This window comes from Homo sapiens, chromosome 18, assembly GCF_000001405.40.
Source record: "Homo sapiens chromosome 18, GRCh38.p14 Primary Assembly".
Classification (NCBI taxonomy): Eukaryota; Metazoa; Chordata; class Mammalia; order Primates; family Hominidae; genus Homo; species Homo sapiens.
Genome location: NC_000018.10, coordinates 78766159 through 78782224, shown reverse-complemented (window position 1 = coordinate 78782224; position 16066 = coordinate 78766159). Strand labels below are relative to the sequence as shown.

General features: G+C 54.3%; 2 annotated features.

The window, feature by feature from the left end:
- Positions 1338–2296: an enhancer, noted in NCBI's record as "H3K4me1 hESC enhancer chr18:76539929-76540887 (GRCh37/hg19 assembly coordinates)". NCBI's record gives its function as "activates a minimal SCP1, AML or CMV promoter by ChIP-STARR-seq in naive H9 embryonic stem cells {active_cell/tissue: H9 hESC(naive)}" and the evidence as "EXISTENCE:reporter gene assay evidence [ECO:0000049][PMID:30033119]".
- Positions 12583–13440: an enhancer, noted in NCBI's record as "H3K4me1 hESC enhancer chr18:76528785-76529642 (GRCh37/hg19 assembly coordinates)". NCBI's record gives its function as "activates a minimal SCP1, AML or CMV promoter by ChIP-STARR-seq in naive H9 embryonic stem cells {active_cell/tissue: H9 hESC(naive)}" and the evidence as "EXISTENCE:reporter gene assay evidence [ECO:0000049][PMID:30033119]".

Genomic DNA, 16066 nt, shown 5'->3' with positions numbered 1-16066 from the left:
CGGAGGCCTCCCCTCCATCCCCGGACACCTCTGTGATGAGCGGAGGCACCCCCTCCACCCCGGACACCTCTGTGATGAGCAGAGGGCTCCCCTCCATCCCCGGTCACCTCTGTGATGAGCGGAGGCCTCCCCTCCACCCCGGACACCTCTGTGATGAGCAGAGGGCTCCCCTCCATCCCCGGACACCTCTGTGATGAGCAGAGGGCTCCCCTCCATCCCCGAACACCTCTGTGATGAGCGGAGGCCTCCCCTCCACCCCGGACACCTCTGTGATGACCAGAGGGCTCCCCTCCATCCCCGGACACCTCTGTGATGAGCGGAGGCACCCCCTCCATCCGCAATACCTCGGATAGGCCTCCCGAACCCTCCGTGTACCCACAGGACTCGCTGACGGACGGAGTCGCCGGTCCTCGCCTCCCGCGGCACGGTCACCCCTACGCTCGCAGTGCCTGGCCCGGTGTGGGCACTTCACAGATCTGCAGAGAGTGTGATTCCAAGCGCAGCTTTTCCCAACCATGACATTAAAATGCTGTTATGGGATTAAAACAGCCACGTGGAGTCCAGCGGAGAGCAGCGGCGCCGAAGCCGGAGGAGCTGCCGTCCTGTTCCACGGCCTGCGCTTTGAACTGGATCGGATCCTTCAGGAGCGGCTCCGCCTCACCCAGAGGACAGCGGGAAAGTGAGACACTTCGTCCCGAGCCTGGCAGCACAGGTCTGCCGTCGGAGAAAACCCCGCCTGAGAGTCCAGCCCACGTTTGTGGAGAACGTGGATCTTCAGCTTCCCCCGAGCACCTGGCACTGGGCGAAGCCGCGTCTGAATGAAAAGAGGGGACTGGAGCTGAGCATGCCTGAGCTTCCCCGACGGCACCAGCCCTTTCCCTGCAGGTCCGGAGCACTTCTGACGGAAGCCGGGGTCCGAGTGGGACCCCCTGCCCGGCACTGAGGGCACCTGGGCCTGTCGCAGTCAGGGTGCAGCTGCGCTGGCTGGCATCCGTGATTTTGGTGAGAAAGGAGCTAAACAGGTGACTCGTTCTTCACCTCACCGCGTGAGAAACATCCAGCCACGGGAACGCCTCGGAATGTGCTGAGGCACCACCTGCAGTTTCCATTTCCAGGGAAATCTGAGATGCCGGGTGGGCGCCTGCTGGACTCCGCATGAAAGGCCGGGGAGATGTGTGGGGCTTTCGCAGTGGATGGAACCACACTCCCGACGTGGACGCCAGATTTTGTGAGGCTGGGTTTTCCGTGGTTGCTGTGATAAGGATCAGGTGCTGAGTAAGAACCAGTGGAGAACAGGCAGTGAGGGCACCCTGAGACCCGAGGCTCGAGAACTCTGCCAGGTGTTAACAGTGGCACACAGCCCAGGATCCAGTGATTGTGGCTAAGGCACACACAGATGACACAACTATTTTTCTTTACAGTTATGTAGCTTTTTTTTTTTTTTTTTAATGTGGCCACTAAGTTGTTAAGACATAAATAAATACTTCCTGAGCTCTTTGGAGCTGTCTTAATAAATGAATTGATTCGGCGTTTCTCAGCACCTGGGGTGCCATGAACAAACCTCTGAGCACCGAGTCGTCTGTCTGGGCCCCTCTGCTGGAGTGCTGGCCTGGGTGGGCAGACAGATCTGCCTCGTGCTGGAGGCAGTCGCGGTCTCCGTCACTCTGAGAAGTTGGCTGTGAAAGCTGGCCCAAGAGCTGCTGGCTGCCGGGGAGCTGCGAGGAGGGCCCAGGAGATACTGTTTCAGCCTCTGCTCTCTGGGCCTCTCCTTCACTGACACGGATCACCTGTAGGAAGATGTGGCCACTGGAAGGTCTGGCGTGGCCAGGGCCACCCGACACCGTGCCTGGCCTCGGACGCTTGCCACGTGGCCAGCTCCTCCATCTGATCCTGCCGCGGTCTGGTTGCCTGGCGGCCTTCCCTCCAGTACTCAGGCTGATTGGCAGCGCTGGTCATGCCCTGCTCTCTGGGTCTGACGTCCAACACTGAGGTTGCAGACATATAAGAGGCGCTGGAGAGGAGCTGGATAGGCAGGAGCGTTTTCCGAGAGGCATGTCACCTCCCTGCAGGCGCCTCTTGGTGTATCCTTGGCCATTGCAGGAGTGGCGTTGGGAAGGAGACCTGGAAGGGGGCATCTCAGGTCCGGGGCTCAGAAGCCACTGCACCCTCGGAAGCCACTGCACCCTCTGACCCCAGCCTCCTCCAAGGTCACCATGAGCCATCTGGGGGTGCATCCATCACACTCACCAAACACTTTGCTTCCAGCTTTAAAATGGGTGACTTGCTTCTTAAAAATAAAAACGCCGACCCATGAAGACATCCTATGCACTTTGTCAGGGGTACATCTTCGGCTGAGGATTAGCCCAAGAGGGACAGAGGCCTTCTGGGGTCTGCCGCAGGGGGTGGGGGGACGTGCAATTCCTTCTCCCCAGACATTTCCTCTGGGTCGTGGAGCTTCCGTAAGGGTGGTGGGGATATCTGGCTACTGAAATGCTTGGGAATGGGATTTTAGTAAACTTTGAGAAGATACAAATAGGAATATGTTCAATTAAGTACAATCGACCATTGAACAACATAGGGGTTGGGAGCACCGACCCCCACGCAGCTGAAAGTTCAAGTGTAACGTTTAACCCCCTCCACGATGAGCTACAAATAGCCCTGGACCAGAAGCCTTGCTGAGAACATGAAGAGCCAACGTTTTGTACACTCATGGGTTTGTACAAAACCCATGTTTTGTACGCTCTGTGTTATATACTGGATTCTTACAATAAAGTAAGCTAGAGAAAAAAATGTTATTAAGAAACTCATGAGGAAGAAAAAACTCATCTACTGTTCATTAAGTGGAAGTGGCTGATCCTAAAGGTCTCCAACCTCGTCGTCTTCAAGTTGAGTAGGCTGGGGAGGAGAGAGGGTTGGTCTCACTGTCTCAGGGGTGGCAGACATGGAAGAAAATCTCCGTGTAAATGGACTTGTGCAGTTCAGACTCGAGTCGTTCAAGGGTCAACTGTAATTCCATCATCAGTAATTTTATTAAAATGGTGAAAATAGTCCAAATTCTTCCAACAAGACAGTTTAATTTTGTAATTAAAAATCCAGGCTGAGCCGGGTGTGATGGCTCACAACTAATCCCAGCACTTTGGGAGGCTGATGCCGGTGCATCATTTGAGGTCAGGAGTTCGAGACCAACCTGGTCAACATGGTGAAACCCTATCTCTACTAAAAATACAAAAATTAGCAGGGCGTGGTGGTGCATGCCCGTAATTTTAAAAATCAGTGGGATCAGAGTCAAAGATATGTACAGGCCATTTAAGAGAATGATCGACTTCTGGCCACCCGGTGCCTGCCTGCTGCGGTGGCGCTGTGCCGGGCCCAGGGGTCCCAGGGACTCCCGCCGTGCTGTCAGCCTTGGAATCTCAGTGGGGACCTGTTGTGTGGAAACTTCCGGACAACAGTCTTTCCCATGGAGAACCTACGTCTTCACAATGTTACCACTTCCCGTACCCCGCTGCTGGACTTCCCACCTCCGTCAGCATTTCAGGTGAGAACAGAAACCAGGGAGTGGGAGAGAGTCATTTGGATTAAATGCATATTTCATAGCAGAGACAAAAATTATCCCGAAACCATTAAATTTTGGGTTGACACTGGTTGGAAGAACTGATATAGTTAAATTAAAAAAAATTAAAATTATAGCATAAACTTTATTTCTATTTTAAAATATGCCAAATTGTATAATTTTGCTCAGAGATAACCAGAGCTAGAAAGTATCCATCCTTTGTTGCTCACAGTAACTGATTCCTTGGAAGCAAAGCCACTGCAGATGCCCACGCCCCCAAGACTGGGTCCAGGGGCCTGACACTCCCCTCGGGTAACAGCTGCGCCCAGGTGCTGGGCAAGGAGGGGGCCGAAGGGCACGCACAGTCTCCTACAGCCCGTCCTCCGGCTTCATGGAGGGCTCGGTGAACTCGGTGCATCTCTGTCAAAGCAAAGTGGGGCTCTCCTCGTGGTGCTGTGTCTAGGGTGGGGGTTGAGGAAAAGAAATTCTGGGAGGCCAGAGGTGAGAGCCCTGGGTGCCATCTTCTCTGAGTGGCCACTGCAGACGGGGATGGGTGCCGCCTTCTCTGAGTGGCCACTGCAGACGGGGGTCTCCCCACCTGCCGGGGAGCAGCTCCAGCCGCCGTCCCCTGACCTGTTCTGTGCACCAGCTCCAATCTCCCAGCCTCGCCCGTGAAGATGGAAAGACCAACTCTGCAACCTATGTAGACCAGTTTAAAGGTTTTAAAAAGGTGATGACAGGGTTTCCAAGAAGTCTATTTGGTGTGTGGATGTGGAGGAAGACAGGGGAAAGACTGAGGCCCTGAGTTTTCATCCAGAAGTGTCTCCTAAGAGCACCGCGTGCCACATGGAGCCAAATCCCAAGTCCTTGGTCATTCCAGGCTGACAAGGATCCTTCATCCAAATGCCGTGATCTGCTTATGGAACCAATCACGCCTCTCCAGAAATGCCCTGCGCACAGACACACCACAAGCCTTTGCAACCTTTTCTCTCTCTCGGTATTTTTGACTGCTCTAAGAACAAAATCCCCATTTCTCCAGGACCACCCCGCACTCTGTCACCGCCAGTTCCTCTCTGCAGCAAATGTCACCAGCCCTTTGCTAAAACGGCGTTGCTCACCAGGTCATCTGTTTACCTGTGTTCCCCATGCTGGAAACACAACCTGGCTATTGTGCTGATTAGCAGAGTCCAGTGTCCTCTCACCAACAGGCTGGGGTTTCCGTCCATTCAATTCAAATGACAGTGCCGTGGTGGGTCTTGAGGCGTTTCATAGAGGATTTTGCCATGCAGATATGCTTCATATTCATGAATAAACTCTGGAAGCAACAAAAGGGGTGGAGAAATGAGAATAAAATAAAAAGGAATCTTAGCATCATTGTGAAAAGTTTATGGTGGGTGGCTGGCATGGGAGTCTATAAACCAGAACTGGCTCCAACGAGCCCAACAAGAAGAGCGAGCACTTTCCTTCCTGCTGCTTATGAATTATTGTCGCTGAGCGCTCCAGTGTTTACTTCTTAGCATTGACCCTTTTGCAAAACTGTGATCCAAAGCTGCACTGCTATTAATTGGAAATGCCCCTGCCAGGCCTGGAGAAACGACTCTTCAGGAACAGAAGGAGGCGGCTCCCCAAAGGCCAGTTAGCTCTGCGATCTACCGAAGGGCGTCTGCACTGGCCTAGATTTTATTCAGAATTCACAGCCGGGGGACAGAAGGAAAAAAGAACAGGTTTCTTTCAGGTTGCTCTGTGCACTGGCATATATATAATTTAAATATTTACCCACTGGGAGAGGCTGTAGTGCTCGGGCCCACCGCTGCCAACGGGTACTAATCCTGGGGCGTGAGCCTCTTGCTGGCAGAGGCCTGTTTTATGCCGATTGAATAACACATACCACTTTTCTTGAGAAACCCCCACTATGATTTCAAAACACATCAGTTTCAATTAAACGCGAAGGAAAAAAATGTGCTCACTAATTCTGGGCTGCAGTTACTTATTGTGGAGCTGGCTGCTTTGAATTTGAAAAGAGTTTGATGGAGACTTAACCAAATGACATATAATCATGGAATATTTTTTTATTATACCTGGAGTGATAAAATTGCCAAATGGTGTACTGTGTGACTTTTAAAATAAATTACACCAAAACCTGTGTGCTGGAGTAAATCTAAGACGCAGCACTGCTGAGTACCATACTAGCCGAATGGCGTCCGAGAGGCTCAGCAACTGTTTTCCTGTCTGTGTGTGGCTTGATCTGTGGACCTTCCTGTGCACTTACTGTGGACCTGGGGGACTCCCCAGCCATGGCCCTTCTCTGCCCCTCTCCTCTGAAGAGGTGGGCTCAGGACAGGTGGTGTGGCTGGCTGCATCACGGGGGTGTGGGTGACCAGCTGGAGACAGATGAGCTCAGGGCCCAGGAGCCCAGTCTCCTTCCTCCTCCACATTTTTCCACCACAAGACTGTGGTGTGGAAGGGCCTGGTGCCCTTGTGATTGATGCTCTGCAAGTGTGCCAGCCTGGGAGAGATGCAGTGCTTCTCCTGGAGGGAGACCACACATTTACTTGCTCAAGGTCAATGTCATCCATTTCTGCAGAAGCACTTTGTCGTTATGCCCAGGGTTGATCATTTCTAATACTGCGCTTATTTTTAAAATTCCTTAGAAGAGTGAAAGTCCACGTAGACCTTGTTAACTTTAGTTGGTAACGACTAATCAGGAAGACGCATTTGTATTAGCATTGTGTTTACTGTTACAACAAAGGCAAGAACTTAGGTGCCAAAATGGTACTTGTCATTTGGATATGACTTCCACATATGTATATTCTTATCTGTAAAAATTACTCATATATATATATGCACACATACATCTATTTAAACATATATCTATCGCCTAGGAGGTAAAAATTTCCAAGTCAGTTTCACTCACCACTTAAAGTTGTCCCCATAGTTGGGTATGTATGGGTTTTTATCACAGAGAAATGAAGAAAAGGAATATTTTATAAGATACCTTTCTTTCTTCCCCTTCGTCTCCCCTCTCCTCCCCTCCCTTCCCCTCCCTTCCCTTTTCTTCCCTTCCATTCCCTTCCCTTCTTTCTTTCTTTCCTTCTTTTTCTTTCTTTCTTTCTCTGTCCCCCTCCATCACCCAGGCTGCACTGCAGTGGCGCGATCTCTGCTCACTGCAACCTCTGCCTCCCGGGTTCTAGTGATTCTCGTGCCTCAGTCTCCTCAGTAGCTGGTATTACAGGTGCCCACAACCACGCCCAGCTGATTTTTGTATTTTTAGTAGAGATGGAGTTTCACCATGTTGGCAAGGCTGGTCTCGAACTCCTGACCTCAGGTGATCCACCCCCATCAGCCTCCCAAAGTGCTGGGATTACAGGTGTGAGCCACTGTGCCCGGCCAGATACTTTTCAAGGTGGGTCAGACTGGTTTGCTGCAGGGTAACCGTCTTCAACATTAAAAAATATAAGAAGAGTGGAATTGGCCTAGGCTAGAAATCCCAGCTTGCTGGGGAGTTATCACACCTCCAGTCTCCCTATACAAACATCTCCCAGTCACCCGAGGGCCTTGCGGCTGCTGGTTTAGGGGTACTCATGCAGCTGTCCTCGCCGTCCCCACCCTCCTGCGAGCCTCCTGCACAGGCTCAGGTGCATCATGGATGGGTCTGGGGCTGCCTCTCTCGCACTTGGAGACTGCAGATTCCCGAGATGCTGCCTCAGACGCAGGGGCAAATGCGGAGGAGGTCCTCGGTTGTGCACCGGGGGAAGGACTGACGGTGTCGTCTTTTCTCCTGCAGTGACCGTCTCTGTCCTGGGTTAGCCTCCACGTTCCGGGGCTCCGGGAAGGCCGAGGTGCCTCTTAGGGGCTGTTCCACACCAACGCCCACTCTGAGCCTCGGGAGAGAGCGGGTGCCAGGGAACCTGGAAACATCGGTGGGGTTAAGAGCTGGGCTCAGTCTGCAGGCGTCCCAGGTTGAGGCTAACCTGAGGTCCCCAGAAACCTGAGAGGTGGCCCTGCCTCCCTGAGATGTGTTTTCTATAAAATTATCCTCGATGAAGAAGCCTGAAAGGAGAGAAACAATGCGGAAACAACCCTGGAGGACTCCCTGGGGCCGAGGGCTCTGGGGCGCCTGCCCTGTTGGAGGCGCCGTGCCTGCCCTGTTGGAGGCAACCTTGGGGCCCACTTATAGTGGAAAAGGTCTTCAAATGATCAGTTGAATGTTCAGGAACAGAATGCCTGTTTCTTCTTAGACAATTTGCTGGATGTAAATACTTCCTGTGCCGAGAATATTTTCAGTTTTGTTCTAGATAGCTGCTTGCACAGAGGCCATGTCCAATCTTATCTACACATCAACTGGAGGTTACTTTGTGTTTGTGAAAGGACTCACTGCAATGTTTCATAAAACGTGGGATGAAAGAGCTGCCACTCCCTGACTCCCTAAGCACACCCTGAAGGGAGATGATCCTTATCTTGGAATTCACTTACACTCTTAATTTCAGATGTGGTGGTCTGCACTCGGCAGGACGTGGGGGGTGGCGGGTGGGTGTCGTGTGACCAGGTGGGGTACAAGGAAGAGACTCCCTGTGTCCCCCACAGCCAGGCGGCTTTGGAGGGCTCCTGTTCCTCCTTCCCCTTCAGACTCAGCACCCCTGAGGTTTGGTGTTGCCCTCGGCGGGGTGTGTGCCTGTGTGTGTGAAGGTGCTGGTTTAACATTAGACGGATACAGAGGCTGTTCTCTAGCCCAGGCAGGTGAGGGCCGTGGGGGCTGGGGCTGGGCACTGGGTGGTGAACTCTGTGGTCCTGCTGGCCTGGCACACCCTGAGCCACCTGTGAAAGCCTGTCCCTCTCTCCATCCCTGCCCCTCACTCCCCTAGCTGCTGCTTCCCGCCCATTCACTAAGATCTGAGGAACATGACCATGGAGTTAGGAGGGCCTCCTGCCTGCCCAGGGGTTCCCTGGGAAAAGCCTGACCCTCTGCAGCGACAGGGAGTGGGGCTTCCCCAGAAAGGAGGTAAATTTGGAGCTGGGTACAGGGGCCAGCGCTGGGCCTCAGGAGCAAGGCAGGAGCTGGGGTTGCTGACAGGGGCCCACGAGGCTGTGGGGAAAGCCCAGGCTCCTGTGTGGCAAGTTCTCTCGTTTTCTTCCCTCCTCAGGTAAATCCTGCACAGTGTCCCAGGGCACCGTCAGGAGGGGCATGGGCCAGGCCATCAAAAGGGAGGGGTCTGTGCATGGGGCTCCTCACTGCCAGGGAAGGTGGTCCCGGAGTTCTGAGCTGGGAACTTTATGGGGTAGATAAGAAGGGCCCCTTTAGGAGGGTTTGAGCCCCTGCAGCAGGGCTGTGGGAGCTGAGTGTGCAGGGGAGGGTCCTGCTGGCCTCGGTGTGCTGCACCCTCCCCATGCAGCAACCCTGAGGCAAATGCACATGTGATTTCCAGTGCAATGGGTCATTTTTAACAGTAGGCCAAGGAGTAACCCCAACAGTGGCTCCTGGTGGAGGGTGTGTGTTTCGGTGCATTTGCAGACCACGTGACCGTCCGCTCCCACTGTGGATGCTGCAGACAGCCCATGGACCTACAGGGATGCCTGCCTGCCACTGCAGCTCTTCTTGAGACGGCCCAGAGGTGGGGGATGGGGACACAGCAGTGACCCTGAAGTTTAGGCAGTGAGCTTCATAGCCATCAACCGCCCTGCCTCCCAGGCTCCTCTGGCTCTGGGCGGCTGCCCAGGAGGTCATCGCCAAGCCTCGCATTCGGATGGGGTGAGCATCCTCCCAAGGCGCCTCAGATTCCTTTTGTTGCAACGCGTGGACCCCTGACATCAGGCGAGGGGGCCAGCCTGCCCTCAGGGCACTCCACCCGCCCACCTGCAGAGCTCCTTTTGCTGCAAAGCGTGGACCCCTGACACCGGGCACGTGGGCCACCCTGTCCTCAGGGCACACCACCCGCCCGGCCTGCAGAGCTGCCTCCCGCAGCTGCCCCATGGCAGGCAGTGCTGCACTCACACCCATCCTGGCCCCCTACAGTTGTAAAATAGCCTCCAGCCCACCTCTCTTTGCAGAGTGAGGACCAGCACAGAGTTCTGCCACCTCACCCTGTATTAACTGTCATGTGCCATGGGGTTAGTGGACACTGGACAATGTGGCCTCACATCAGTAGCCTCCAGAATTTGCCCTGAAGCTACCTGACAGGAGGGCCCCCCCGGGTATGAGGTGCAGTGAGCACCAGAGAGCAGCTGCTTATCGAACATTCTAATGATTTCAGCTGCCAGTGGGTCCCCGGGCCCCTGAATTCTGCAGACGCTTCTTTCAGGAAATAGCGATAGATAAATCATGCTTTTCCCTATGCTCAACTCATCTTCAGAGCTTTTCTGCCTCCCCATGACACAAAATGATGCAGCTGCATTTCGTGAAATGACGCCCTTCCTATTCCCTGCAGCTCCGTATTCCCTATTCCCTGCAGCTTCCTATTCCCTGCAGCTATTCCTTCCTATTCCCTGCAGCTTCCTATTCCCTGCAGCTCCCATGAAGAATTCTCTTTGGACCCGAGCTGTCCACCCTCAGGTCAGTGGAGTGTGAACCTCCAGGGACTAACACATCATCACTTCAGGGCACTGGCTGGGAGCACGCTCCCTTACGTTTTAAAACAAGGTGTCACACTGCCTAGAAGCCTGCTGGCATAAAGGCAGGTCTGTGCGCATGTGCTCCCTGTGTAGGAAGCTATACCTGGATCTGCTTCAGGTGACGCACACTCTTTAGGAACAACAGCAGTGACACAGCACTGGCAACGAAGGGCCGGCAGCCTCAGGACACAGCCAGGCCCTCTTCCTCGGGGCTGAGAGCCGCAACCCTGTCAGGGGCTAAGGTCATTGCTCAGACTGCAGAAAGACACCCGGTTATGGGAATTGGTGAAGTAGAATATGCTTCCCACCTTGCCGTGCACTCTGCCTGGGCAGGTGTGGGGACCGCTCACGGCACTGAGCCCCCCAGCCTGTGCATGGGGCCTGCACCCCTGTCTCGTCTCTTTCCTGCTGTCCTAGTAGAGGACATAAGACACCCATAGCTGAGCTGCTTCCTTCAACGCACGGTGAAGTGATTCGGCCTGCCCAGCCCTGTCTGAGTTCAGGTCACTCTAAACAAGAGGGTCAGGAGGCTCTGAGCACCTGTGAGTGCTGCCGGCAGCTGCCTCGAAAGCCTCGGCCCCTACCTTTCCCTGGGAGGCCGGGAGCCTGCAGGTGTCAGCAGTATTGGGGGGGACCCTGGAGCCCCAGAATATTGATGAGGGTGGCACGAATGTCACAGAGGCATTTTCTTATCATCTTTACTGGAAAACCACTCTTGGGCTACAGCTGTTAGCGCAGGTCGTGGGTCACAGTCTGAGGCCGAGGTCCAGCCCACTCTCTCTGGATTAAGTCCAGACAATTTTATTGAAAAAATTCTGCCCATTTCCTTAGTTACCTGGATGTCCGCCTCTGTCCTATGGTGCAGCGACACCCTCGGAGGGATGGAGACCAGAGAATCAGCCGAGACGCACAGCACGCCGCTGCCTCCTCCGGGACCACCAGGGAATTCCGAGCCTCAGGGGTACTTGGAAAGGTGATGGAATGATAGAACGACAGCAAGCGTGATCTCTGTTCTCTCACCCCAAGGAGCAGTAATGTGCCTCCCTCCCAGGCTGCCTTCATAGGACGAAGCCTCCTGACCCCACTGAGCTGGGCAGGCTGGCCCTGGGAGCGTGGATTTGAACCCCCAGTTGGTCGTCAAAGGGGAGGGACTCTGTTTCTGTCCCCGATTTGTTTTCGGGGCCTTCCAAAAGCCGGGCGTATGCCGGGTCTGTGTTCAGGCTATCTGCTGGAATAAGAGGCTGACTCACACAGGTTACTTACTTGGAGCTGCCCGAGGTGTTACAGAGACGGATGCAGTGTGTCCCGGGGGGGTGTTTGTTAGAGAAGGCAGCCACCAGGTTGAGGACAATGGCCAGGTGCAACCGCCTGAGGAGAGAAGGTGAAGGCTGCCCCCAGAGGGCTATTTGGTGTTTCCAAATTTGGTTCAGCATGGAATAGAAAACCTGATGCTCGTCTACCAGTTTCCCGCTTTTAAAAATTTTACAAAGTTAAAAAAAAACATTTAACTAAGTAAAAATTTCTCTGGACTCTTCTCGGGCCAGGGAGGAGCTGGTGGCCCTGTAGCGTCTGGGAGCTGCAGTTCCGGGGACCCGTGATGCAGACCAGCTCCCCTGACCGCAGGCTCTCCTGTATGTCCATGGCTGGGGCTGCCTTTTATTTTCATGGAAATGCACCGACAGTTTGGAGTGGAACACCCCAGCCTTTTGAGGCAGCCTGGAAAGGCACTCTGCTACTTTGTACAGCCGTAATTACAGCTGCTCACCGGGGCACGCAAGCTGCCTGTTAGGGAAGGCCGCCACCTGATTCCCGCCTCGGAGGCCTGAGGAGCGGTCTCCGCTCATTCTCCAATGGAGAGCGTTTTCTCCCCTGGCCCCCTCTTCCAACAAAATATTCCTTTTTCTAAAAGCCAAATTCCCAATAGGTAAATAGCAATTACAATTACAATTGCATACAAGTGATAAATCCTGAATTGCCTCTCAACGCAACAAGCAAAGGAGACTTGCCTTTTTCAAACACAATGATGATCACCGTCCCTGGGGCTGTCTTATGTTTTTAAAAAGTGATATTTGACATCGCTGGGAGCAATTTGTGGTTTAAAAGCACTGAGCAGCAAAGTGGCCCACCGCCGGGCACGACATTCCCAGGGCTGAGGCCCGAGCCCAGAGCCAGCCCATCTCCGTTGACAATACCTTTGCTTCCCTCAGTGTTCGAACATGGCTTATTCACAAAGCTCTGTTTACTCAGATGGGAGAAAGTGACTGACCAGATGTTCTGGTTTTTCAAATATCGGTTGGTGTCCCTGTGATTTCCCTGGGAGACTGGATTGTCCCGATGTCCCTGCTGAGAGCCGGGTGGTATAAATGTTGTGGGTGAGGTAAAGACTCTCCAGCCACCAGGGCACCAGGGCAGATCGAGGAGGAATCCCCCGGAGCCCAGCTCCTTCCGGCTGCCACGGATTGACAGGGGGGTGGTGCAGGCGGCATTTCTGATGCCCTTTGCTGTAAACGAAGCTACTTGCCTGTGCTGCTGAGGACACCCAGAGACAAGAAAGTCACAAGCAGGGGATGTGTGTCTTCCAGGGGGACCTGGATGTGGGTGGGGGGACTGGATGGACAGTCCCTGGGGCCCTGCCCTGCGGGCACAGCCCTGGTCCCTCCGTGCCAGGTGGCCTTCACACCTGGTGAGATGAAACTGCCTGTGTGACTTAAAGGCCAGATGTGGCTAACGAGCCCCCTGACTGTTTAACTGTAAACGCCCCTCGTCAGAGTAAACAAATATCTGTTTAATGTGGGATGAAGGCTCTGGGTCACGCGACTTCAGGTGAAGCCGGAATCAACAGCCCCATCCATTAGGCGGCCCTGCCCCCACCTGTCGGGTTCCGGCCGCGGCACAGGCCGCCTGTTTGTTTACCTGCAGAGCTGTTACAATATTTTGCTTTCAGAGGAGATCCGGAGGCCCCTGCCACACCTCTGACATTTCCCCACAGCAAAGCCCCTCGGCTCCGGTGCTGGGCGCATTGTTCTGCTCCACAGCCTGGGCCAGAAGATGAGTGGAGAAGCGCAGGATCCAGGCAGAAATTATTATTGATTTAATCACATAATCAGCAGCAAACACTTCAGGCTAAGATAGCAAATCCATAACAGCCTTCCCACACAACCACCTGAGAAATTTACCAGCAAACCATGGCACACACTTAGCAAACACGCGGGGCAGGGGTCACCTTCACTCAGAGGCCGGATATTGACATTCCTAAAGCTGAAATATGTTTTGAGTTAAGTGTTATCAATCAGTGATAAGAGTTGCACGTCTGTTAAACATAACTGCATTGGCAGGAGGATTATAGAATGCTTTCTTGCCATAATCTAGAAGCATCTTTCAGACAAAACTCGGCTCGAAATCAATTGTGTGCCAGGAGCTGCCTGCCGTGGCCATTCAGTGTCGTACAAAAGGGCAGAGCTTCTCCCTGTGATCCTTCCCCAGAACCGGTTTATCTAATGAGACCAGACCTTTAATTTCTTTTCACATCAAATGTGGAATCAATGGTCTGGATTCAGGAATGTCTGTAAACAGCCATGAAGCCATGTCCTTGGAGGGAAGCGCGTGCAGCCGTCCCAACCCCTGGCACAGCCATGCCCACGTATCCTCTTCACCTCCAGGTAACGGCTTCGGCAGACCCTCTGGCTCCTGGCGAATCTTGGCAGAGCAGCCCATGATGGGCACAGCCTCACCTGCAGAGAGGCCCAGGACGCGGCCTCACTCTGTATGGAAGCTGGCACACGTCAGTCATGTTGGGGTTCATTCTCCTCGAGTTCAGAACAAAGAACCCTCGTTAATAATCTTCAAAGGTGAACCACCTCAGGACAGCTGTGAATTCCAGGCAGTGTTGAGGGAAGCTGTAAGGAGAGGTCCGGGGAGCCTCAGCATGGTGGGGACCCAGTGCAGCCCTCCTCGGACCCATGTCCACAGGGAGAGGGTTGGACTCAAAAGCCGGCCCTGGCCATGACGCTGCCACCCTCAGGGCACTGCTGCTTGCCCGGAGCCCCTCAGAGCCAAGCTGGGGAGAGAATCCTGAGCTCCTGCAGGCTGTCACATCCCCGGAGGCACCTCCTAGCGTGGGTGAGGTGGCCACAGGCAGATCCCCAGGCCCTGGACATCAGCCGCTACCTGGGCCTGCATTTAGGGCTCAGGTGAAGCACAGGGGTGGAGACATCTGCCTGGCTTTTTCAGCGTCAGTGTTAGAGCAGAAACGCGTGGATTGCCAGCCTCACAGGCAGGCGGGAGCCAGGCACGGGGTGTGAAGGGAGTGTGCACTCTTGGGGACCCTCCCTGTCCCTGCACCTAGGTGATTGCAGCTGTCCATCCCCCATCCCACGGGTGCATGCCGACGGGTCACCGCTGACCCTCAGGGTGAGCTGGGCTCTGCTCTCCAGGTGGAGATATGGGGGCCGCTGACCCTCAGGGTGAGCCAGACCCTGCTCTCCAGGTGGAGATATGGGGCCCTCTGACTCTCAGGGTGAGCTGGGCCCTGCTCTCCAGGTGGAGATATGGGGGCTGCTGACCCTGAGGGTGAGCCGGGCCCTGCTCTTCAGGTGGAGATATGGGGGCTCCAGGGCTTCAGGAACTCGCTCAACATCATCTACAGAGAATGCCTGGAGGCAGCGGGATCAAGGGCCATAGGTTAGAGGTCACAGGGCGCAGGTCACAGGCGCCTAGGTGTCAGGCTCACAGGTTCCTGGCTTCTACCAAATTCTCTCCATGGCTTGCTTTCTAGTGCCCCTTTGTCCGCTGAAGACGGAGAGGTGCAGGTGTCACGTCGTGGGGCACAATGCGGAACATGAAGGCAGGATTCGCTGTGCTCTGGGATGTCTGTGTCTCACCGGCTGCCAGCTGGGCTGGGCCCCAGCTCCCTAATCCGACGTCAGGATTTTTCCCATAGTGAAGGTTACTTTATAGACGCTGCCCTCCTCCTTCCTTCACGGCCCCACGAAGACGCGATCCCTGTGGGCCCAGAGGAAAGCACTCCTGTCGGCCCCTCAGAGCTGCCTTGAGGATGCGGAGGCCACACCCTGGGAAGGTGGGGATAGAGGAAATCAGAGTGGGGAGGACGCTGAAGGGCACGGACAACTAGGGAGGAAGCAAGATGGGAGGAGAGGAGAGGAAACCCTGGATCCTCGCTCCAGCCCCGGTTAGGAGCAAAGGTGGATTCAGGGGCCTGGCACAGCCCTTCCCTCTTCCCCGGGAGATGGGAGCGCTGGAGTCTTTAGGGACAGCTCCAGCCTGGGTCAGATATCCCGGGCCTTCTGATTTCCAGGTGACCCAGTTCGCTTCTCCCCTTTTCTGTCCATGATCAAACGACTTTGGCAAAACAGGCCTAGGACCCCCACCTTTCCCTGGAGAAAACACTGAGGCCGCCCAGGTGAGTGGCGGTGCATGCCAGGCTGGCCCTCTTGCCCCATGCACTGCACCTGGGCATCACTCTTGTGTCTCTCTGAAGCCCATGGCCATGCTGTTTAAACTGTCTGCACACAAACAATGGCATTATCTGGAAAGTTTGAAAGAAAATGCAGAAAACCACAAAGTCCAGTCTAACAAATACTAAAAACTCCTTGGCCTCAGATAAAAGATGGTGACACTATTTGCCTTGAATCGTGATTTTAGGGGAATACTCTGTCTGTTCTTCCACCGGAACAGATGACTTCTCTAAGATGAGAAAGGAGGAGAACTCCGTGTATCTTGCACTCAGAGCTGCCATCTACACAGAGAGAAAACGAGGCAGGCATGCGAGGCTCTTATTTGCAGATGAGCGCTTATCTGCCAATGTCTGCCACATGGCCAGGCCGGTCCCACCCAGGTATTCAGCACCATTTAGGGGCTTTCGAGCCTAGACACAACATCTAGCTGGGA